At 43.0% G+C, this 24,531-nt stretch overlaps 1 protein-coding gene across 368 annotated transcripts in view, besides 8 other annotated features; it reads left to right on the top strand.

Moving 5' to 3' along the window:
- Positions 1-24,531, top strand: part of BRCA1 (BRCA1 DNA repair associated) — a 126,033-nt gene that overhangs the window by 46,577 nt on the left and 54,925 nt on the right. For 111 of the 368 annotated variants that reach the window (NM_001408458.1, NM_001407922.1, NM_001408469.1 and 108 more), the window contains 5 exons: positions 7,972-8,025; positions 17,218-17,295; positions 18,795-18,883; positions 19,490-19,629; positions 23,871-23,976. The exons of 2 other annotated variants lie outside the window; for them this stretch is intronic. In NM_001408458.1, the coding sequence (NP_001395387.1) occupies positions 17,225-17,295; positions 18,795-18,883; positions 19,490-19,629; positions 23,871-23,976 (406 nt within the window). In that variant the 5' untranslated portion in view covers positions 7,972-8,025; positions 17,218-17,224. Of the gene's footprint in view, positions 1-2,070; positions 2,194-4,485; positions 4,631-7,971; positions 8,026-11,144; positions 11,265-13,166; positions 13,287-17,217; positions 17,296-18,794; positions 18,884-19,489; positions 19,630-23,870; positions 23,977-24,531 lie in introns of all 368 variants that reach the window. 255 more of the 368 variants (NM_001408470.1, NM_001407848.1, NM_001407839.1 and 252 more) reach the window with 31 other exon arrangements.
- Positions 3,451-3,801: a non allelic homologous recombination region, noted in NCBI's record as "sub-region c, recombines with sub-region c' in the BCRA1P1 intergenic recombination region, resulting in a gene conversion event". NCBI's record gives the evidence for it as "EXISTENCE:nucleotide sequencing assay evidence [ECO:0000219][PMID:26171949]".
- Positions 3,451-4,122: a biological region, named in NCBI's record as "BRCA1 intronic recombination region". NCBI's record gives its function as "recombination_partner: LOC110485085".
- Positions 3,565-3,801: a non allelic homologous recombination region, noted in NCBI's record as "sub-region d, recombines with sub-region d' in the BCRA1P1 intergenic recombination region, resulting in a deletion". NCBI's record gives the evidence for it as "EXISTENCE:nucleotide sequencing assay evidence [ECO:0000219][PMID:11880951, PMID:19405878]".
- Positions 3,690-3,794: an enhancer, noted in NCBI's record as "CNS-1 (105 nt)". NCBI's record gives the evidence for it as "EXISTENCE:reporter gene assay evidence [ECO:0000049][PMID:15990270]".
- Positions 3,690-4,014: a biological region, named in NCBI's record as "BRCA1 intron 2 regulatory region". NCBI's record gives its function as "regulatory_interactions: LOC111589215 | NBR2".
- Positions 3,820-4,014: a silencer, noted in NCBI's record as "CNS-2 (195 nt)". NCBI's record gives the evidence for it as "EXISTENCE:reporter gene assay evidence [ECO:0000049][PMID:15990270]".
- Positions 3,879-3,901: a non allelic homologous recombination region, noted in NCBI's record as "sub-region b, recombines with sub-region b' in the BCRA1P1 intergenic recombination region, resulting in a deletion". NCBI's record gives the evidence for it as "EXISTENCE:nucleotide sequencing assay evidence [ECO:0000219][PMID:11880951]".
- Positions 3,935-4,122: a non allelic homologous recombination region, noted in NCBI's record as "sub-region a, recombines with sub-region a' in the BCRA1P1 intergenic recombination region, resulting in a deletion". NCBI's record gives the evidence for it as "EXISTENCE:nucleotide sequencing assay evidence [ECO:0000219][PMID:16772120, PMID:17561994]".

The following is a 24,531-nucleotide window of genomic DNA, read 5'->3' as shown; positions in this document are numbered from 1 at the left end:
CACTGGGGCAGGAATCTAGTTTAGATTAACTGGCATTTTGGCTTTTCTTCCAGCTCTAAAACAAGCTCCATCACTTGAAATGGCAAAATAAAATCATGGATGAGGCCGAGGGCGGTGGCTTATGCCTGTAATCCCAGCACTTTGGGAGGCCAAGGTGGTAGGATCACGAGGTCAGGAGATCGAGACCATCCTGGCCAACATGGTGAAACCCCCTCTCCACTAAAAATACAAAAATTAGCTGGGCGTAGTGGCATGTGCCTGTAATCCCAGCTACTCAGGAGGCTGAGGCAGGAGAATCACTTGAACCAGGAGGCAGATGTTGCTGTGAGCCAATATGGCACCACTGAACTCCAGCGACAGAGCTAAACTCCATCTCAAAAAAAAAAAAAAAAAAAAAAAAACATGGATGATCGGTGTCGTTGAGAGGATAGGTATTTGGAAGAACCTTTGTTTGAAACTGGCTCTGTACATACAATGAAATTACATACTTATTTACATACAATGAAATGCAGAGGTTTTTTTTTTATATAGGATCTCTGTCGAGAGGCTGGAGTGCAGTGGTGCTATCACAGCTCACTGCAGCCTCAACCTCGTCAGGCTCAAGCAATCCTCCCACCTCAGCCTCCAGAGTAGCAGGGACGATAGGTGTGCACCACCATGCCCAGCTAATTTTTGTATTTTTTTTTCTTTTTTTGAGATGGAGTCTTGCTCTGTTGCCCAGGCTGGAGTGCAGTGGCGCGATCTCAGCTCACTGCAAACTCTGCCTCCCGGGTTCATGCCATTCTTCTGCCTGAGCCTCCTGAATAGCTGGGACTACAAGCACCCACTACCACGCCCGGCTAATTTTTTGTATTTTTTTTTCTTTTTTAGTAGAGGCGGGATTTCACCGTGTTAGCCAGGATAGTCTTGATCTCCTGACCTTGTGATCCACCCGCCTGGGCCTCCCAAAGTGCTAGGATTACAGGCATAAGCCACTGCGTCCAGCCATTCTTGTATTTTTCTGTTGTAGAGATAGGGTTTTGCTATGTTGGCCATGCTGGTCTCAAACTCCTGACCTCAAGTGATCTACCCTCCCTTGGCCTCTCAAGGTGCTGGGATTACAGGCCTGAGCCATTGCACCCAGCCATGGTCTAAAAATCTTGATTGAAATACCACCTTTTCATTTCCAGACACCCCTATTTAAAATTACCACACCCCCAGCACACACTTTATCTTCTATTCCTGCTGCTTCTCCATAACACTGATTACTAGCTGACATTCTATGTAATGTATCCATTTTTTATCTCTAGTCCCACAGAATGTAAACTCCAGGATGGGATTTTTGTTTTGTTTACATACATCTGTATGTTCAGTAGTTAGAACGGTACTTGGGACCTAGTTGCCACTCAATAAACATTTGTCAAATAAATAATAAACTAAACTAAATTAGTTCTTTAATTTTTTTAAATATGGTGATGGTTAGTAGTGAGTAACATTCAAAAAATAAGTTGAAAAGTTGTACCATTGCCTCTTACCCACAATAAAAAAGGGTAAATTCTTTTCTGCTTTATGAAAGTTGTTTTTCATATTTGAAGTCAAGTTAATCAGATTAAGGAAAATGTATGTTGTGTTTTCAGAGCGATACAAGATTTATAAATAACCATCCTCTCCCTTGCCCTTCAACATTATAGCTAAACAAAAATAAGAGGAAAACAGGATTCACAATTTATCAATTTATTGAAAATCAGAGCCAGAGAAGCAGGAAATGACATTGTAGGAAAAAACTGCTTTTGAAAAAGCACAAAACTTACTCATGACAATCAGTGATCAGGAAAATCCTCAATAGTGTGGCATTTGGATACATTTATGTTTCATTTCCATGGGAGAGAGTCATAAAAATAGGATGTTCTTTCTCATTCTGGCAAATTAAACCATCAATTAAAAACTCAGATACATAAAAATTAAAGATGTAAGAATGAAAATGCTAAATTGTTATTTTCAATCAACTATTATGTTTTCTAGCTTTTCATTGCTTTTTTCTGTTTCCTGTTAAGATTAATTTCTTTTTTTTTTTTTTTTTTTTTTTTTGAGACAGACTTTGGCTCTTGTTGCCCAGGCTGGAGTGCAGTGGCACAATCTCGGCTCACTACAACCTCCACCTCCCGGGTTCAAGCAATTCTGCTGCCTCAGCCTCCGGAGTACCTGGGATTGCAGGCATGTGCCATCACACCAGCTAATTTTGTATTTTTAGTAGAGACAGGGTTTCTCCATATTGGTCAGGTTGGTCTCGAACTCCTGACCTCAGGTGATCCTCCTGCCTTGGCCTCCGAAAGTGCTGGGATTACAGGCGTGAGCCACCGCTCCCAGACTTTTTGTTTTGTTTTGTTTTGTTTTTTTGAGACACGGTCTCGCTCTGCTGCCTAGGCTGGAGTGCAGTGGCACGATCTTGGCTCACTGCCAGCTCCGCCTCCCGGGTTCAGGCCATTCTCCTGCCTCAGCCTCCCGAGTAGCTGGGACTACAGGCGCCCACCACTATGCCCGGCTAATTTTTTGTATTTTTAGTAGAGACGGGGTTTCACCATGTTAGCCAAGATGGTCTCGATCTCCTGACCTTGTGATCCACCCGCCTCAGCCTTCCAAAGTGCTGGGATTACAGTCCTGAGCCACTGCGCCCGGCCTGGACCTTTTTTTTTCGGGGTGGGGGGTTGGAGTCTGGCTCTGTCGCCCAGGCTGGAGTGCAGTGGCGCCATCTTGGCTCACTGCAACCTCCGCCTGCCAGGTTCAAGTTCAAGCGCTTCTCCTGCCTCAGCCTCCTGAGTAGCTGGGATTATAGGCGCACGCCACCGTGGCCGGCTAATTTTGTATTTTTAGTAGAGATAGGGTTTCATCACGTTGGTCAGGCTGGTCTTGAAGTCCTGATCTCGTGATCCACCCGCCTCGGCCTTCCAAAGTGCTGGCGTGAGCCACTGCGCCTGGCTTAAGATTAATTTTTGTTTGTTTTGTTTTTGAGACGGAGTCTCGCTCTTTCACCCAGGCCGGAGTGCAGTGGCGCCATCTCGGCTCACTGCAAGCTCCGCCTCCCGGGTTCACGCCATTCTCCTGCCTCGGCCCCCCAAGTAGCTGGGACTACAGGCGTCCACCACCACGCCCGGCTAATTTTTTGTATTTTTAGTAGAGACGGGGTTTCACCGTGTTAGCCAGGATGGTCTCCACTTCCTGACCTCGTGATCCGCCCACCTCGGCCTCCCAAAGTGCTGGGATTACAGGCGTGAGCCACCGCGCCCGGCCTTAAGATTAATTTTTATGGTGTTTTACATTCATTTGTATGGAAAGTTCTAGGATAGGGATCATATTTCACTTCCTTTTAATATAGTACAGTATAGCACAATTTGCAGTTATGTCTTAATATGTGATCAGGAATGATCATGACTGGAAACAGTGTTATTTGTGGTAGCTATAGGGTAGGTAAGGTTTTCAGCCTGTTTTAGGTTTCTTGAACTAAAATTCCTTCTGCTGTCTTCTAAGTCAATATTGGCAGCTATTTCTGACAATTGGTAGTTCTTTGTAACTTTTTACCTATGACTATAACATTTTTGACTTTCAGAAGAATTTGCTAAAATGTGTTCCCCGGTGGGTTGTTGTTTTTCAACCTAAACCTAGCTGCTTTTTCCAGTCACTTATCCGTATTGGAAGCTCAAAATGCAAATATACAGTAGGCCTAAAATATTGCCTGGTTTGAAAAGTGTTTAAAATATTTGAATCATTTTTATAGTAAACATTTACTCTCATCAGGACCTAGAAGGGGAACATTTTAATTTTTTTTCTTTTCCCTTTTCACAGTCTTCCTTCAACATTCATTACCTTTTTACATATCGGAGTTTTCATCTGTTCAAAGTTTGTGTTTACAGTGTGTTTATATAGTTTAGATTATAATTACCATACTGAAATATAATTGTTTCAGAATTGAGTCAGTGGTGAGAATGAAAGCCATCTGGTATGATAACTGAATCCAATTTTTCTTTTACGGAGAATTTCTTTGAAATGTAGCTTATCTCAGAAATAGGGATTTAGTAACCAATCAGAGTTTTCTTTGTCAAGGTTGTTTTTCTTTTTAAAGTCACATTTGGTCCCAGTAATAATACCAATGTTGGTACAAGTTATCTCAGGTTGTGAAGCATTTTTCCCAAGTCATCTCAGGTTGTGAAGCATTTTCCCAAGTAGCATTTAATTTTATTCTTGCAATAGCCCAAGGAGTCTGGCAGGGTGAATGGCAAGAGAAGGAAACAGGTTCAGGTAGAGTGGTTAGCCCAAGGTGGCTCTGCTTATATACACAACTGGTAGTAGAAACCCAGCCTCCTGACTTAGTTCATTGTTTTTCTTTTCACTGCCCTGTGCTATGTCAAAAACCCCATGATTACAAGAGTTGTATTACAACCCTTCACAATAAGGTTACTGTCCACAAGCTTTTCTTGTGATCCTTTTCTTTTTTTTTTTTCTTTTTTTGAGATGGATTCTCTGTCACCCAGGCTGGCCCGCCTTGGCCTCCCAAAATGCTGGGATTACAGCGTGAGCCACCGCACCTGGCCCTTGTGATCCTTTTCTAAAAAGTTAAATATTTAAGGAAAAAACCACATTCTTGTCACACTGCCAGGTTAGTCGTTCTTTGATATCTTGCCTGGACTTTATCCAAAAAATCCGTTTCAAAAATTCACATTTAGAGCTAAGTGTAGTGGCTCACGCCTGTAATCCCGGTCGAGGCAGATGGATCACTTGAGGTCAGGACTTCAAGACCAGCCTGGGCAATATGGTGAAACCCCTTCCCTACCAAAAATACAAAAAAATTAGCCGGGTGTGGCAGCACGCGCCTGTAGTCCCAGCTACTTGGAATGCTGAGGCACAAGAATCACTTCAATCCGAGAGGCAGAGGTTGCAGTGAGCCAAGACCACACCACTGCACTCCAGCCTGAGCAGCAGAGTGAGTGAGACTCCATCTCCAAAAAAAAAAAAAAAGGTTCACATTCAGAAGAAAGCTAAAGGCCGGGTATAGTAGCTCACACCTGTAATCCCAGCACTTTGGGAAGCCGAAGCAGGAAGATTGCTTGATGCCAGGCATTCAAGACCAGCATGGGCATCATAGTGAGATCCTGTCTCTACAAAAATTAATTAACATTAAAAATTAAAAAGATGGCTGGCATGGTGGCTCACTCCTGTAATCCCAGTACTTTGGGAGGCCAAGGCATGGTGGTGCATGCCTTTAGTCCCAGCTACTCGGGAGGCTGAGGCAGGAGAATCACTTGAATTCAGGAGGCGGAGGTTACAGAGAGCCGAGATGGTGCCACTGCACTCCAGCCTGGGCGACAGAACGAGACTCTGTCTGAAAAAAAAAAAGAAAATTAAAAAGACCAGAATAAAGCTAAAGATTTAAAATAGCCTATAGGTTCCTACCAGAAGTTACCAGCTACCTCTCTGATAGTCTTTCCCTACAATATCCTCCTGGATTATTACATTTTAGCACCTTGACCTATCTGATGTCCTGCATACACAGGCATGGTCCTGCTCAGGGTTTGCCTTCTCTGCTCCCTCTTTCTTGGAATGCTCTTCCCCTAATTGTTGCATAGTGTGTTTCTTTACATTATTAAGCTATCCTCTAGTCTCACCTCAGTGAAACCTTTCCTGACTCCCCCCATGTACATCTCACCCCCACATAGATATTGAACTACCTGTTTCCCCTTACCCTGCTTAATTTTTCTCTTTAATGCACTTATTCCCATGTATTCTTTAATTCCGTATCAACTGTCTACCACACTAGAATATGAGCTCTATGAGAGCAGGCTTTATTTTGTAAACTGCTACATTTCTATCTCCTAGAATAGTACTTGAATATAGTAGTAGATACTTAATAAACACTTGTTATATTAGTATAATAAATGAACTAATCTCAGGAATGCCTTGGTTTTGTGGATAGACAGGTAGGGATGGGAACTTGGGTGATGTATTTTCTGAAGTTTTTATTTTTAAGCTTATTATTATTTTGAGATGGAGTCCAGCTCTGTCGCCCAGGTTGGAGTACAGTGGCGCGATCTTGGCTCACTGCAACGTGCACTTCCCCGGTTCAAGCGATTCTCCTGCCTTAGCCTCCCAAGTAGCTGGGATTACAGGCGCATGCCACCATGCCCAGTTAGTTTTGGTATTTTTAGTAGAGACAGCGTTTCACTGTGTTGGCCAGGCTGGTCTCGAAATCCTGACCTCATGATCCGCCCGCCTCGGCCTCCCAAGTGCTGGGATTACAAGCATGAGCCCCCGTGTCTGGCCTTATTTTCTTTTTTTTGAGACAGAGTCTTCCTCTGTCACCTAGGCTGGAGTGCAGTGGCACGATATTGGCTCACTCTGCAACCTCCACCTCCAGGATTCAAGTGATCCTTCTACCTTAGTCTCCAAAGTAGCTGAGACCACAGGCATGCGCCACCACGCCCGGCTAATTTTTGTATTTTTAGCGTAGACAGGGTTTCACCATATTGTCCAGGATGATCTGGAACTCCTGAGCTCAGGTGATCCACCCACCTCAGCCTCCCAAAGTGCTAGGATTACAGGCATGAGGCACCATGCCCGGCCTTAAGCTTATCATTTTCTAAATTTCCTTTAGTGAGTACTTATTACACTGTTTTTACAAAGTAATCACAAACCAAACATCATGCCTCTTCTGAAGTGATCTAATAAGAGTACACAGTACCATCTGTAAAGTGTTCTTGCCAGAAAGTTGAACCTGAATGATTAAGCCTGTAAGTCTAGTTTATAGGAAATAAGGCTAGAGGAACAAGTTAAACCTCACCATAGGGTTATACAATCAGCAAAATCCAGAATGGGGGAAACTCCACAGGTCAAATGACCTAATTTTAAAAATAAATGACAAGGGAGAAAAAGTAAGAGACACCTATAGATCAGAAGACACTTGGGGCTGGGCATGGTGGCTCACACCTGTAATCCCAGCACTTTGGGAGGCCAAGGCAGGCGGATCACCTGAGGTCAGGAGTTCAAGACCAGCCGGCCAACATGGTGAAACCCCAACTCTACTAAAAATACGAAAAATCAGCCGGGCGTGGTGGCGCACGCCTGTAGTTCCAACTACCTGGGAGGCTGAGGCAGGAGAATCACTTGAACTTGGGAGGCAGAGGTTGCAGTGAGCCGAGATCGCACCATTGCATGCCAGTCTGGGCTACAAAAGCAAAACCCCATCTCAAAAAAAAGAAGACACTTGGGTTTGGGTGTGTTGGCTCATGCCTGTAAACCCCGTGCTGGGAGGATTGCTTGAGCCCAGGAGTTCAAGGCTGCAGTGAGGTATGTTTGCACCACTGCACTCCAGCCTAGGTGACAGAGTGTGACCTTATCTTAAAAGTAATAATAATTAAAATAATCTGGGGTAGGGGTGGATATGGGTGAAACAGCTTGGCCATGAGTTGATGGTTGTTGGACCAGGGTGATGGTCCATATAGTTCATTTTATTATTTTATTTACTTGAAATTTTGAAATACTTGAAATTTTCCATATTAAGTTAAAAAGGCATTTACAGTAAACAAAAAAAAGTTCTAGGAAGGAATTCAAAAGAAATATAAGCAGAAAATTTTGTCTTTATGGAGCTTAAAGATGAGATGTGCACCCACAGTGATAGTGCAGAAAAATATATCACTGGAAATGAATTCGTACGAACTATTATCAACTAATCTTTTAAATGCTGATGATAGTATAGAGTATTGAAGGGATCAATATAATTCTGTTTTGATATCTGAAAGCTCACTGAAGGTAAGGATCGTATTCTCTGCTGTATTCTCAGTTCCTGACACAGCAGACATTTAATAAATATTGAACGAACTTGAGGCCTTATGTTGACTCAGTCATAACAGCTCAAAGTTGAACTTATTCACTAAGAATAGCTTTATTTTTAAATAAATTATTGAGCCTCATTTATTTTCTTTTTCTCCCCCCCTACCCTGCTAGTCTGGAGTTGATCAAGGAACCTGTCTCCACAAAGTGTGACCACATATTTTGCAAGTAAGTTTGAATGTGTTATGTGGCTCCATTATTAGCTTTTGTTTTTGTCCTTCATAACCCAGGAAACACCTAACTTTATAGAAGCTTTACTTTCTTCAATTAAGTGAGAACGAAAAATCCAACTCCATTTCATTCTTTCTCAGAGAGTATATAGTTATCAAAAGTTGGTTGTAATCATAGTTCCTGGTAAAGTTTTGACATATATTATCTTTTTTTTTTTTTTTGAGACAAAGTCTCGCTCTGTCGCCCAGGCTGGAGTGCAGTGGCATGATCTTGGCTCACTGCAACCTCCGCCCCCCGAGTTCAAGCGATTCTTCTACCTCAGCCTCCCAGGTAGCTGGGACTACAGGCACCCGCCACCATGCTTGGCTAATTTTTGTACTTTTAGTAGAGATAAGGTTTCACCATATTGGCCAGGCTGGTCTCGAACTCCTGACCTTGTGATCCACCTGCCTCGGCCTCCCAAAGTTCTGGGATTACAGGCGTGAGCCACCACACCCGACTGACATATATTATCTATTAGGATGTAACATCATTTTGAACAGTGTTTTGTATTTTTTGTGTCCATCAGTGAAAGCAAACTGCAAGCAGTTTTGAAATAAGCACATTGTGTTTGAGCCTTCCCAGTTTCTCCTTTCTGTTCATTTCTGCATATCCTTATGCATTCCCCCTTCTAAGGGTCAGTGTTTGCCCGCTTTGTAATCATTGTGAAGACAGGAAAGGACCTGATACCAGTTTCTATTTAGGCCAAAATTCATTTATAGCAGTGATTCAAGTTATATTTACGTATTTGATGATCTTGTCTTTTGAAATGAAAATGTTTGTTTCTTAATAAAAGAATTTCAGAAAAAGTAGAGTAGGTAATTTAGTAGAACAAGTGGGCTTTCTCCTTTTCTTTATGTTAAGCTATGGCTCACATCTTACCTTAAATGTCAACTAATTTGTTTTTAAGTATTTATGTACCTGGTACATAACCTGGTACCAGGTACAAACTATGTACTTGGTAAAAAGTTTATTAGCACAAAAAGGTATATGATGCAAAGTATACTTCCCTCTTACCCTACAACCCCTGCCTCCCTGTTCCCTCCCCAGACAACCACAATGATCAATTTCTTATGTATCCTTTGAGGAATTTTTAAATTCCAGAGTTCTTAACTTGGGGTTTATGAATAGTCTTTATGAATTTCCTAGAATTATATTTAAATTGTATTCAAAACTATGGCCATGTACATTTTTCTGGGAAGATAGTCCATAATTTTCATCTGAGTGAGCTAAGATCATGCCACTGCATTCCAGCCTGGGCGACAAGAGGGAGACTCAAAAAAAAAAAAAAAAGTCCCAGTATTTACTACAGAGAGCTAAAGATTAACCTTTAAAGCCCTGGGGCTTTCAATTTATCTGGATGAGAATCTTTCTGGAATGAACTGTATGTTTTCTTGTCAGCTTGAGTAACAAATGCTGAACATACTATACTATTATTACAGGGACTCAAGGGCCCAGTGTGGTAGCTCCTGCCCATAACCCCAGCACTTTGGGAGGCCAAGGCAGGAAGATCACTTAAGGCCAGGAGTTCGAAGCTGTAGTGAGCTATGATCACACCACTGCACTCCAGCCTAGATGACAGAGTGAGACCCTGTCTTTTTTTTTTTTTGAGATGGTGTTTCACTCTATTGCCCAGGCTGGAGTGCAGTGGTGTGATCTCGGCTCACTGCAACCTCCACCTCCTGGGTTCAAGCGATTCTCCTGCCTCAGCCTCTTGAGTAGCTGGGATTACAGGCATCTGCCACCACACCCAGCTAATTTTTGTATTTTTAGTCGAGACAGGGTTTTCACCATGTTGGCCAGGCTGCTCTCAAACTCCTGACTTCAGCTACCTTGGCCTTAAAAAGTGTTGGGATTACAGGTGTAAGCCACCGCGCCTGGCTGACCCTGTCTCTTAACAAAAAAAGAGAGATTAAGTTATGAATATAGTTGCTTTGAGAACTTGTGGAAGAAGGAAATTATAGGCTTATAGGCAGAGATAATAATACGAGCAAATGTACAAATAAAAGAAAATAGAGGACGGGCGCGGTGGCTCACGCCTATAATACCAGCACTTTGGGAGGTCGAGGTGGGCGGATCACGAGGTCAGGAAATTAAGACCATCCTGGCCAAAATGGCGAAACACTGTCTCTACTAAAACACACAAAAAACTAGCCTGGCATGGTGGCACGTACCTGTAGTCCCAGCTACTTGGTAGGCTGCGGCAGGGGTATCACTTGAACCTGGGAGGCAGAGGTTGCCCTGAGCCGAGATCATGCCAATGCACTCCAGCCTGACAACAGAGTGAGACTCTGTCTGAAAAAAAAGAAAAGAAAAGAAAATACATCCAGGAAAAATAAGCTAACTTTGCATATGTGTATAGGAGTTGTGTTAGAAAAGGAAGAAGCCCTCAAAGATGGGAAGCCATTTGCAAGAAAGAGAAGGTCCAAGAGGAGGCAGAAGGGATTGGAAATAGAAAAAGGATGTAAGAAAGAGTTGATTATTACTCATAAACAGTAATGAAGGAAAAGGAGAGTAATTCTACAGGAAGATGCTGAGGTGCTTTGAGCCCAGTGAAGTTGGAGGTAAAGACAGCTGTTGAGGCCGGGCACGGTGGCTCACGCCTCTAATCCTAGCACTTTTGGAGCCCAAGGCAGGTGGATCACCTGAGGTCAGGAGCTCAAGACCAGCCTGACCAACATAGAGAAACCCCATCTCTACTAAAAATACAAAATTAGACGGGCGTGGAGGCGCATGCCTGTAATCCCAGTTACTTGGGAGGCTGAGGCAGGAGAATCACTTGAACCTGGGAGGCGGAGGTTGCAGTGAGCCGAGATTGCGCCATTGCACTCCAGCCTGGGCGACAAGAGTGAAAACTGTCTCAAAAAAAAAAAACAACAAAAAACAGCTGTTGAGATTGAGAGGATTAGAGTTGGCAACTGGAGAAGAGTGAGAAGCTTGGTTTCAAGCTTGTGATAGTCAGGATTGTGATAGTCAGGAAAGAACCAGTCATAAAGATATATGTGTGTGTATACATATAAATATGTTATATATATGTGTGTGTGTGACACATATATATTTTTGTTTGTTTCTTTGAGACAGTGTCTCCCTCTGACACCCAGGCTGGAGTTCAGTGGTGTGATCATAGTTCACTTTTACCTTGCAATCTGGGTTCAAGCAATCTCTCATCTCAGCCCCTCAAGTAGCTAGGACTACAGGTACATGGCATTTGCCCAGCTAATTTTTAAGTTTCTTGTAGAGATGGGCCAGCCATATTTTAAATTGTGTTTTGAATGTTATATTAGAATTAAAAGTCCAAAGCCGGGTGTGGTGGCTCACGCCTGTAATCCCAGCACTTTGGGAGGCTGAGGTGGGCGGATCACGAGGTCAGGAGTTCGAGACCAGCCTGGCCAATATGGTAACACCATCTCTACTAAAAATACAAAAATTAGCTGGGTATGGGGGCACATGCCTGTAGTCCCAGCTACTCAGGAGGCTGAGGCAGAGGAACCTCTTGAACCCAGGAGGCAGAGGCTGCAGTGAGTTGAGATCGTGCCACTGTACTCTAGCCTGGGCGACAGAGCAAGATTCCGTCTCAAAAAAAAAAAAAGTCCAGTATAATGCCCATGTGATAGATCGACTTTTTCATGAAATCTCTTCTGTAATATCAATATAATCTGAATAACACTTTGATCTATATGATGAGAAAGCTGGGAGCCTGGGAGCGATACCCCCATGCTTTTGTTGTATTAATTGTATTTTCTACGGATAAACTCTAATTGCTAAAAATAAAACAACTTTATTGACCCAAGCAAGCCTAAAGTTCTGAAATCTTTTTTTTATTTTTGTTTGTTTGTTTGTTTGTTTTTGTTTGTTTTGTTTTGAGACGGAGTCTCGCTCTGTCGCCCAGGCTGGAGTGCGGTGGTGCAGTCTCGGCTCACTGCAAGCTCCACCTCCCGGGTTCACACCATTCTCCTGCCTCAGCCTCCCAAGTAGCTGGGACTACAGACGCCTGCCACCACGCCCAGCTAATTTTTTTGTATTTTTAGTAGAGAAAGGGTTTCACCGTGTTAGCCAGGATGGTCTCGATCTCCTGACCTCGTGATCTGCCCGCCTTGGCCTCCCTAAGTTCTGGGATTACAAGTGTGAGCCACCACGCCCGGCTGTTTTTTTTTGTTTTGTTTTGAGACGGAGTCTCACTGTGTTGCCCAGACTGGAGTGCAGTGGCATGATCTCAGCTCACTGCCACCTCCATCTCCTGGGTTCAAGCAAATCTCCTGCCTCAGCCTCCCGAGTAGCTGGGACTACAGGCATGTGCCACCACACCTGGCTAATTTTTGTATTTTTAGTAGAGACGGGGTTTCACTATGTTGGCCAGGCTGGTCCAAAACTCCTGACCTCAGGTGATCTGCTCGCCTTGGCCTCCCACAGTGCCAGGATTACAGGCATGAGCCACCTTGCCCAGCCAGTTCTGAAATCTTTTATGAAGCCTATAAAAAAAGATAATAATACCAATCTAGAAAATATTTCTTAAGGCAGTCATGCATTAGTTTGAACTTTCCAAACAAAAAAATGCAATGTGTAATACTTTTTTTTTTTTTTTTGAGATGGAGTCTTGTTCTGTTGCCCAGGCTGGAGTGCAGTGGTACAATCTCGGCTCACTGCAGCCTCTGCCTCTCTGGTTCAAGTGATTCTCCTGCCTCAGCCTCCCAAGTAGCTGGGATTACAGGCGTGCACCACCATGCATGGCTAATTTTTGTATTTTTAGTAGAGACAGGGTTTCACCATGTTGACAAGGCTGATCTCGAACTCCTGACCTCAGGTGATCCGCCCACCTCAGCCTCCCAAAGTGCTGAGATTACAGGCATTAGCCACCACGCCCAGCCTTTTATTTTAGTAGAGACCATGTTTCACCATGTTGACCAAGCTGGTCTTGAGCTGACCTCAAGTGATCCGCCCACCTCCACCTCCCAAAATGGTGGGATTATAGGCATGAGCCACCGCACCCAGCCTGTAATACTTTTTTGAAGATCTAGAACCACATTGTTCAAAGAGATAGAATGTGAGCAATAAATGTAACTTAAATTTTTCAACAGCTACTTTTTTTTTTTTTTTTTGAGACAGGGTCTTACTCTGTTGTCCCAGCTGGAGTACAGTGGTGCGATCATGAGGCTTACTGTTGCCTTGACCTCCTAGGCTCAAGCGATCCTATCACCTCAGTCTCCCAAGTAGCTGGGACTGTAAGTGCACACCACCATATCCAGCTAAATTTTGTGTTTTCTGTAGAGACGGGGTTTCGCCATGTTTCCCAGGCTGGTCTTGAACTTTGGGCTTAACCCGTCTGCCCACCTAGGCATCCCAAAGTGCTAGGATTACAGGTGTGAGTCATCATGCCTGGCCAGTATTTTAGTTAGCTCTGTCTTTTCAAGTCATATACAAGTTCATTTTCTTTTAAGTTTAGTTAACAACCTTTATACATGTATTCTTTTTCTAGCATAAAGAAAGATTCGAGGCCGGGTGCGGTGGCTCACGCCTGTAATCCCAGCACTTTGGGAGGCTGAGATGGGCACATCACGAGGTCAGGAGATCGAGACCATCCTGGCTAACATGGTGAAACCCCGCCTCTACTAAAATTACAAAAAGTTAGCCAGGCGTGGTAGCGGGCACCTGTAGTCCCAGCTACTCAGGAGGCTGAGGCAGGAGAATGGCGTGAACCCAGGAGGCAGAGCTTGCAGTGAGCAGAGATTGTGCCACTGCACTCCAGCCTGAGAGACAGAGCGAGACTCCGTCTAAAAAAAAAAAAAAAGATTCGAATCCTTATCTTGGTTGATTTTTGCGTATCTAGTTCCACTGAATTATTTATATAATTGTATAGACTACAGCACGAGACAGCTTAGCTTGTCACTCTACTGTACTATATTCTGCAGTACTATCATAAGGGAATTTCCTCCCTACCCCTGCTCTGAATTGTTCAATTGTACTATTTGCTGGAGTAATGCTTGATGCCTTCTTGATCCATTATACTAGAGTATATGTAGTATTTGTAGATTCTGAAGGAGTGGGAGCCTCTATTCTGAGTTTTAAAGGTACTTATGTACAGTGGAGGTAGCTTTTTGACAGCCTCATCTTCCAAACTATAGAGTCATTGTTTTGTTGAGTGCAATATGGTACTTGAAGCATCTATATCGGCGAAGAAGGACCCAAGTCTCCTTGACCTTACCTACCTACATTCACTTTCTCTGGTAGGAAGATTGTGGGTGCCTCTCTCCAGACTTAGTTTCCATGTCAAAAAAGAAAAAAGGAAGATTGTGGGCTTTGCTACAATCCAATTCTGGATCCAATATAACCTTCATTGCTTAATTACTGTGTGATCTGGGACAAGCCTCTACTCTATAAAAATGAAGATAAGGCCAGGCTTGATGGCTCATGCCTGTAATCCCAGCACGTTGGGATGCCAAGGCAGGAGGATCACTTGAGGTCAGGAGTTCGAGACCAGACTGGGCAATATAGTGAAACCACATCTGTACAAAAATAAAGATAGAAAGTAGCCCAGCGCAATGGCTCACACCTGTAATCCCAGCACTTTGGGAGGCTGAAGCAGGCGATCACTTGAGGTCGGGAGTTCAAGACTGTAGACAGATAGATAGGTAGGTAGATAGATAGAGATATAGATATAGTTGGGGTTTTTTTGTTTTGTTTTGTTTTGTTTTTGAGATGGAGTTTCGCTCTTGTTGCCCAGGCTGGAGTGCAATGGCGCGATCTCAGTTTACTGCAACCTCCGCCTCCCGGGTTCAAGAGATTCTCCTGCCTCAGCCTCCTGAGTAGCCAGGATTACAGGCATATGCCACCATGCCCGGCTAATTTTTGTATTTTTAGTAGAGACAGGGTTTCTCCGTGTTGGTCAGGCTGGTCTTGAACTCCTGACCTCTCCCAAAGTGTTGGGATTACAGGCGTGAGCCACCGCTCCTGGCCTTTTTTTTTTTTTTTTTTTTTTTTTTGAGACAGAGTCTTCCTCTGTTGCCCAGGGTGGAGTGCAGTGGCACTCTTCTCAGCTCATTGCAACCTCTGCCATCCTGGGTTCCAGTGATTCTCATGCCTCAGCCTCCCAAGTAGCTGGGACTCAGGCGTGTGCCCACCACGCCTGGCTAATTTTGTTGTATTTTTAGTAGAGACAGGGTTTCACCATGTTAGCCAGGCTGGTCTCAAACTCCAGGCCTCAAGTGATCTGCCTGCCTCAGCCTCCTGGGATTGCAGACATGAGCCACTGCACCCGGCCAAGAGAGGGTAATAAATGTTAAATTACCTGGCTAGTAAAAAATATTCTCTAAGTGTCTTTTCTCACAATTCCCAATGCCTTTTTTTTTTTTTTGGCACAATCTCACTCTGTTGCCCAGGCTGGAATGCAATGGTGCAATATTGGCTCACTGTAACCCCCGCCTCACAGGTTCAACTTATTCTCATGCCTCAGCCTCCCGAGTAACTGGGACTACAGTGCACCACCACCACACCCAGCTAATTTTTGAATATTTAGTAGAGACAGGGTTTCACCATGTTGGCCAGGCTGGTCTTGAACTCCTGGCCTCAAGTGATTCACCCACCCCGCAAGTGCTGGGATTACAGGTGTGGACCACCGTGCACAGCCCTAGTGACTTTTTTTTTAGCCCCTTAATCTTTTCTTTCCTGGGTCTCTTCATTGTCAGTGTCTGCTATTTACTCCCTACCTAGTCACCCCCTTCACCAGTATATTATGTCCTTTATGTTTTATTTTGCAGGATCTTATTTTGCTTTTCTATTGAATCCCCTCCATCTAGAATAGTACTAGACATAGTAAATATTGGTTGTATGAGTGAATCGCTGCTTTTAATTATCATCACCATTGCTCTCTCTACTTCTGGTCTATGATCCACTTTGAGTTAACTTTTGTTATTTGGTGTGAGATAGGAGTATAATTTCATTCTTTTACATGTGGTTATACTTTTGTCTCAACACTGTTTGTTAAAAACACAAAAAGTATTATTTTCCCATTTAATCATCTTTGGCCTGGGCACGGTGGCTCATGCCTGTAATCCCAGCACTCTGGAAGGCCAAGGCAGATGGATCAATTTGAGGCCAGGAGTTCAAGACTAGCCAACATGGTGAAACTAAAAATACAAAAAATTAGCTGGGTATGGTGGTGCATGTCTGTAATCCCAGCTACTCGGGAGGCTGAGGCACGAGAATTGCTTGAGCCTAGGAGGTGGAGGTTGTAGTGAGCTGAGATTGTGTCACTACCCTCCAGCCTGGGTGATAGAGTGAGTCTGTCTCAAAAAAAAAAAAAAAAAATTAAGAAAATAAAAATCGTCGGCCAGGCATGGTGGCTCACACCTGTAATCCCAGCACTTTGGGAGGCAGAGGCGGGCAGATCACGAGGTCAGGAGATGGAGACCATCCTGGCTAACATGGTGAAACCCCGTCTCTACTAAAAATAAAAAAATTAGCCGGGCATGGTGCTGGGCGCCTGTAGTCCCAGCTGCTCGGGAGGCTGAGGCAGGAGAATGGCGTGAACCCAGGAGGTGGAGCTTGCAGTGAGCCGAGATCGTGCCACTGCACTCCAGCCTGGGAGACAGAGCGAGACTCCGTCTCAAAAAAAAAAAAAAAAAAAATTGTCTTGGTATTTATTATTGTTGAAAATCGCTTGATCACAGATGTATGTATGAGTTTATTTCTGTACTGTCAATTCCATTTTATTGATGTATGTGTCTATTCTTATGCTATTACCACACTTTCTTGATTACTATAGCTTTGTGGTGAGGTGTTGAGATTTTAAACTAATTATAAGCATCTTACATGAACTACTTACCGTTTATATTTGATTATGCAGCATGAAATAATTATGAATATATCATTAAATATGCCATATTAACTTTTATTAAGTTTTATGTGATCATAACAGTAAGCCATATGCATGTAAGTTCAGTTTTCATAGATCATTGCTTATGTAGTTTAGGTTTTTGCTTATGCAGCATCCAAAAACAATTAGGAAACTATTGCTTGTAATTCACCTGCCATTACTTTTTAAATGGCTCTTAAGGGCAGTTGTGAGATTATCTTTTCATGGCTATTTGCCTTTTGAGTATTCTTTCTACAAAAGGAAGTAAATTAAATTGTTCTTTCTTTCTTTATAATTTATAGATTTTGCATGCTGAAACTTCTCAACCAGAAGAAAGGGCCTTCACAGTGTCCTTTATGTAAGAATGATATAACCAAAAGGTATATAATTTGGTAATGATGCTAGGTTGGAAGCAACCACAGTAGGAAAAAGTAGAAATTATTTAATAACATAGCGTTCCTATAAAACCATTCATCAGAAAAATTTATAAAAGAGTTTTTAGCACACAGTAAATTATTTCCAAAGTTATTTTCCTGAAAGTTTTATGGGACATCTGCCTTATACAGGTATTAGAAACTTACTGCCTTTCTCTAATGCTTCTAGTGTAAAAACTTGCAGACTTATGTAAAGTAGGGCTGTATCGCCGTGCCCCCATTGTCTGTTAATCTTGTTTTTATATTTTTGATTGTGTTTCCTTTTCTTTTTTTTTTTTTTTTTAAGACAGGGTCCTGCTCTGTCACTGAGGCTGGAGTGCAGTGGCGTGATCTCGGCTCACTGTAGCCTCTGTCTCCCAGCCTCTTCCTGCCTTAGCCTCCCAAATAGCTGGGACTACAGGCACACGCTACCATGCCCGGCCAATTTTTGTATTTTTTGTAGAGATGAGGTTTTACCATGTTGCCCAGGCTGGTAACTCCTGAGCTCAGGTGATCTGCCCACCTCGGCCTCCCAAAGTGCTGGGGTTCACAGGTGTGTGTTTATTTCTATCTAATTATTTACACAAACACAATGTATTTATATATTGTGTATCTCTTCTGCTACAATGTAAATTCTATGAGAGTAGTAATTTTGTCTGTCTCAACACTGTTTTTCCTAAGTTTGGTACATAGTAGGCACTCAGATGCTTAAAGGAATGAATGAATTGTGCTTTAATTCCACTTTACTAAACCCAAATCTCCCTTTGGACATTGTTATCTATGTGTTTTCAAAGAAGTATAATCATAATTTGACAGAAATCCTTGAGAGGCAGAACTAAGTGAGGGATTGGGCAGGGTTCAGATGTTAAGAACAGTAAGCTCAGCAGGGTGTGATTGCTCATGCCTATAACCCTAGCACTCTAGGAGGCTGAGGTGGGATGATTGCTTGAGGCCAGGAGTTTGAAATCAGCCTGGGCAACATAGTGAGACCCCATCACTACCAACAAAATAAATAAATAAATGTACATGGTGGCATATGCCCATAGTCCTAGCTACTTGGGAGGCTATAGTGGGAGGATAGCTTGAGTACAGAAGTCTGAGGCTGCAGTGAGCTATGATTGTGGCACTGCATGCTAGCCTGGGCAATAGAGCAAGACCCTGTCTCTAAATTAAACAAAAAAAAAAGTACTCTAGTTTTCTATGCAATGCATTATATCTGCTGTGGATTTAGGGCAGTATTATATCAGATAATTTTAGGCATTTGGTAGGCTTAAATGAATGACAAAAAGTTACTAAATCACTGCCATCACACGGTTTATACAGATGTCAATGATGTATTGATTATAGAGGTTTTCTACTGTTGCTGCATCTTATTTTTATTTGTTTACATGTCTTTTCTTATTTTAGTGTCCTTAAAAGGTTGATAATCACTTGCTGAGTGTGTTTCTCAAACAATTTAATTTCAGGAGCCTACAAGAAAGTACGAGATTTAGTCAACTTGTTGAAGAGCTATTGAAAATCATTTGTGCTTTTCAGCTTGACACAGGTTTGGAGTGTAAGTGTTGAATATCCCAAGAATGACACTCAAGTGCTGTCCATGAAAACTCAGGAAGTTTGCACAATTACTTTCTATGACGTGGTGATAAGACCTTTTAGTCTAGGTTAATTTTAGTTCTGTATCTGTAATCTATTTTTAAAAAATTACTCCCACTGGTCTCACACCTTATTTTATCAATCGTAAGGTGCACATTTTTCACATCTTAACATCTCTGAAATTGGGAACATTTTACTATTGAGGGTGTGTCATTTGTTTAATTTGTGTGCTTTCTTTCTTAGTGATACAGAAAATAATAGTGCAACTTACATTGTTGGTGTCTTAGCTTTAGTGAAATACAGTATTGATAGGCAAATTTCTTAGTGTTAAGGTAGAAAACAAGGACTCTAAATAACTTTGATGGTCTGTGTATTTGTTTTTGTTTCCTAGGAGTAAAATTTCCAGTTGATTTTTTAAAATTTGATTTTTAAAAAAAATCACAGGTAACCTTAATGCATTGTCTTAACACAACAAAGAGCATACATAGGGTTTCTCTTGGTTTCTTTGATTATAATTCATACATTTTTCTCTAACTGCAAACATAATGTTTTCCCTTGTATTTTACAGATGCAAACAGCTATAATTTTGCAAAAAAGGAAAATAACTCTCCTGAACATCTAAAAGATGAAGTTTCTATCATCCAAAGTATGGGCTACAGAAACCGTGCCAAAAGACTTCTACAGAGTGAACCCGAAAATCCTTCCTTGGTAAAACCATTTGTTTTCTTCTTCTTCTTCTTCTTCTTTTCTTTTTTTTTTCTTTTTTTTTTTTGAGATGGAGTCTTGCTCTGTGGCCCAGGCTAGAAGCAGTCCTCCTGCCTTAGCCCCCTTAGTAGCTGGGATTACAGGCACGCGCCACCATGCCAGGCTAATTTTTGTATTTTTAGTAGAGACGGGGTTTCATCATGTTGGCCAGGCTGGTCTCGAACTCCTAACCTCAGGTGATCCACCCACCTCGGCTCCCCAAATTGCTGGGATTACAGGTGTGAGCCACTGTGCCCGGCCGGTAAAACCATTTTCATTTATTCTGGCAACATCTCTTTATTGAGCATTGTGAATATGTTAGTGAATGTGCTAGATGCTCATAGATTTATATAAAAAGTTAGTGAAGAAGGAAAGATGGTATATTAAGTGGTTAGACAAGTGTTCTAATCAGTTAGAGTTCAGAGAAGGTCAGGGTACCTGATATAATCAAGAGAGAGACCTTACAGCCAGGTGAGGTGAATGTACCTATAATCCCAGCTACTTAGGAGGCTGAAATGGGAGGATCACTTGAGTCCAGGTTTGAGACCAGCCCAGGCAACATAGCAAGATCCCCATCAGATACACCAAAAAGACAGATTTCTTTTTTTTTTTTTTTTTTGAGACAGAGTCTCGCTCTGTCGCCCAGGCTGGAGCGCAGTGACACGATGTCAGCTCACTGCAACCTCCGCCTCCCAGGTTCAAGTGATTCTCCTGCCTCAGCCTCCTGAGTAGTTGGGACTACAGGGGTACGACACCAGACCTGGCTAATTTTTGTAATTTTAGTAGAGTCGGGGTTTCACCATATTGGTCAGGCTGGTCTCGAACTCCTGACCTCAGGTGATCCACCCTCCTTGGCCTCCCAGAGTGCTGGGATTACAGGCGTGAGCCACCAAGCCCGGCCAAAAAAGAGAGCTCTTATAGGCCCTTCCTTGCTTTGGAGCTTTATCTGCTCTGTGATGCTTATCTAAAATAGCCATAAGGTCACTGATATTTTTAAGCATTTGGAAATTACTTCAGCTGGGTGCCATGGCTCATGCCTATAATCCCAACCCTTTGGGAGGCTGAGGTAGGAGGTCCTTTGAGCCCAGCTTGGGCAACACAGTGAGACACTGTCTCTGCAATTAAAAAAAAAAAAAAGTAGCTGGGTGCCGTGGCTCACGCCTGTAATTCCAGCACTAGGAGGCTTGAGGATTGCCTGAGCTCAGGAGTTCAAGACCAGTTTGGGCAACATAGCAAGTCCTTGTCTATATTAAAAGTTTTTTTAAATTATCTGGGCATGGTGGTGTGTGCCTGTAGTCCCAGCTACTTGGGAAGCTGAGACAGAAGGATCACTTGAGTCCAGGAGATGTAGACTACAGTGAGCTATGATCACTCCACTGCACTTCAGCGTGGGCGGCAAAGCAAGATCTAGTTGCAAAAAAAAAAAGAACTGGCTGGGTGCGGCGGCTAACACCTGCAATCCCAGCACCTTGGGAGGCTGAGGCCAGTGGATCATGAGGTCAGGAGATTGAGACCACCCTGGCCAACATGGTGAAACCCGGTCTCTACTAAAAATACAAAAATTAGCTGGGTGTGGTGGCACGTGCCTGTAATCCCAGCTACTCCAGAGGCTGAGGATGGAGAATCACTTGAACCTGAGAGTCGGAGGTTGCAGTGAGCCGAGATTGCGCCACTGCACTCCAGCCTGGCGACAGAGCGAGACTCCGTCTCAAAAAAAAAAAAAAAAAAGCTTCACGCCTGTAATCCCAGCACTTTGGGAGGCCGAGTCAAGTGGATCACGAGGTGTGGAGATCAAGACTATCCTGGCTCACATGGTGAAAGCCCGTCTCTACTAAAAACACAGAAAAATTAGCTGAGCGTGATGGCGGACTCCTGTAGTCCCAGCTACTCGGGAGGCTGAGGCAGGAGAATAGCATGAACCCGGGAGGTGGAGCTTGCAGTGAGCCGAGATCCCGCCACTGCGATCCAGCCTGGGCGACAGAGTGAGACTCTGTCTCAAAAAAAAAACAAAAAAACTTAGCTGGGCGTGGTGGTATGCACCTGTGGTCCTAGCTACTTGGGAGGCTGAGGCTGGAGCATTGCTTTAACATAGAGAGTCAAGGCTGCAGTTGAGCTATGACTGTGCCACTGGACTCCAGCGCAGGTGACTGAGACCCTATCTTTTAAAAAAAGGGAAAATTACTTGAACTTAAAAGGTGTAATTGTTAAAGAAAATGTAGTGATTTGCTCTGTTGTTACTTATATGTGCATGAATGATGGAGATCTTAAAAAGTAATCATTCTGGGGCTGGGCGTAGTAGCTTGCACCTGTAATCCCAGCACTTCGGGAGGCTGAGGCAGGCAGATAATTTGAGGTCAGGAGTTTGAGACCAGCCTGGCCAACATGGTGAAACCCATCTCTACTAAAAATACAAAAATTAGCTGGGTGTGGTGGCACGTACCTGTAATCCCAGCTACTCGGGAGGCGGAGGCACAAGAATTGCTTGAACCTAGGACGCGGAGGTTGCAGCGAGCCAAGATCGCGCCACTGCACTCCAGCCTGGGCCGTAGAGTGAGACTCTGTCTCAAAAAAGAAAAAAAAGTAATTGTTCTAGCTGGGCGCAGTGGCTCTTGCCTGTAATCCCAGCACTTTGGGAGGCCAAGGCGGGTGGATCTCGAGTCCTAGAGTTCAAGACCAGCCTAGGCAATGTGGTGAAACCCCATCGCTACAAAAAATACAAAAATTAGCCAGGCATGGTGGCGTGCGCATGTAGTCCCAGCTCCTTGGGAGGCTGAGGTGGGAGGATCACTTGAACCCAGGAGACAGAGGTTGCAGTGAACCGAGATCACGCCACCACGCTCCAGCCTGGGCAACAGAACAAGACTCTGTCTAAAAAAATACAAATAAAATAAAAGTAGTTCTCACAGTACCAGCATTCATTTTTCAAAAGATATAGAGCTAAAAAGGAAGGAAAAAAAAAGTAATGTTGGGCTTTTAAATACTCGTTCCTATACTAAATGTTCTTAGGAGTGCTGGGGTTTTATTGTCATCATTTATCCTTTTTAAAAATGTTATTGGCCAGGCACGGTGGCTCATGGCTGTAATCCCAGCACTTTGGGAGGCCGAGGCAGGCAGATCACCTGAGGTCAGGAGTGTGAGACCAGCCTGGCCAACATGGCGAAACCTGTCTCTACTAAAAATACAAAAATTAACTAGGCGTGGTGGTGTACGCCTGTAGTCCCAGCTACTCGGGAGGCTGAGGCAGGAGAATCAACTGAACCAGGGAGGTGGAGGTTGCAGTGTGCCGAGATCACGCCACTGCACTCTAGCCTGGCAACAGAGCAAGATTCTGTCTCAAAAAAAAAAAACATATATACACATATATCCCAAAGTGCTGGGATTACATATATATATATATATATATATATTATATATATATATATATATATGTTATATATATGTTATATATATATAACATATATATATGTTATATATATGTTATATATATATAATATATATATGTTATATATATGTTATATATATATATACACACACACACACATATATATGTATATATATATACACACACACACACAAATTAGCCAGGCATAGTTGCACACGCTTGTAGACCCAGCTACTCAGGAGGCTGAGGCAGGAGAATCTCTTGAACTTAGGAGGCGGAGGTTGCAGTGAGCTGAGATTGCGCCACTGCACTCCAGCCTGGGTGACAGAGCAGGACTCTGTACACCCCCCAAAACAAAAAAAAAAGTTATCAGATGTGATTGGAATGTATATCAAGTATCAGCTTCAAAATATGCTATATTAATACTTCAAAAATTACACAAATAATACATAATCAGGTTTGAAAAATTTAAGACAACAGAAAAAAAAATTCAAATCACACATATCCCACACATTTTATTATTACTACTACTATTATTTTGTAGAGACTGGGTCTCACTCTGTTGCTTATGCTGGTCTTGAACTCCTGGCCTCAAGCAGTCCTGCTCCAGCCTCCCAAAGTGCTGGGATTATAGGCATGAGCTACCGCTCCCAGCCCCAGACATTTTAGTGTGTAAATTCCTGGGCATTTTTTCCAGGCATCATACATGTTAGCTGACTGATGATGGTCAATTTATTTTGTCCATGGTGTCAAGTTTCTCTTCAGGAGGAAAAGCACAGAACTGGCCAACAATTGCTTGACTGTTCTTTACCATACTGTTTAGCAGGAAACCAGTCTCAGTGTCCAACTCTCTAACCTTGGAACTGTGAGAACTCTGAGGACAAAGCAGCGGATACAACCTCAAAAGACGTCTGTCTACATTGAATTGGGTAAGGGTCTCAGGTTTTTTAAGTATTTAATAATAATTGCTGGATTCCTTATCTTATAGTTTTGCCAAAAATCTTGGTCATAATTTGTATTTGTGGTAGGCAGCTTTGGGAAGTGAATTTTATGAGCCCTATGGTGAGTTATAAAAAATGTAAAAGACGCAGTTCCCACCTTGAAGAATCTTACTTTAAAAAGGGAGCAAAAGAGGCCAGGCATGGTGGCTCACACCTGTAATCCCAGCACTTTGGGAGGCCAAAGTGGGTGGATCACCTGAGGTCGGGAGTTCGAGACCAGCCTAGCCAACATGGAGAAACTCTGTCTGTACCAAAAAATAAAAAATTAGCCAGGTGTGGTGGCACATAACTGTAATCCCAGCTACTCGGGAGGCTGAGGCAGGAGAATCACTTGAACCCGGGAGGTGGAGGTTGCGGTGAACCGAGATCGCACCATTGCACTCCAGCCTGGGCAAAAATAGCGAAACTCCATCTAAAAAAAAAAAAGAGAGCAAAAGAAAGAATATCTGGTTTTAAATATGTGTAAATATGTTTTGGAAAGAT

The sequence above is a fragment of the Homo sapiens genome, chromosome 17 (assembly GCF_000001405.40).
Source record: "Homo sapiens chromosome 17, GRCh38.p14 Primary Assembly".
NCBI classification, from domain to species: Eukaryota; Metazoa; Chordata; class Mammalia; order Primates; family Hominidae; genus Homo; species Homo sapiens.
Note: the sequence above shows the minus strand (reverse complement) of the source record. Positions and strands in the feature narration are given on the sequence as shown.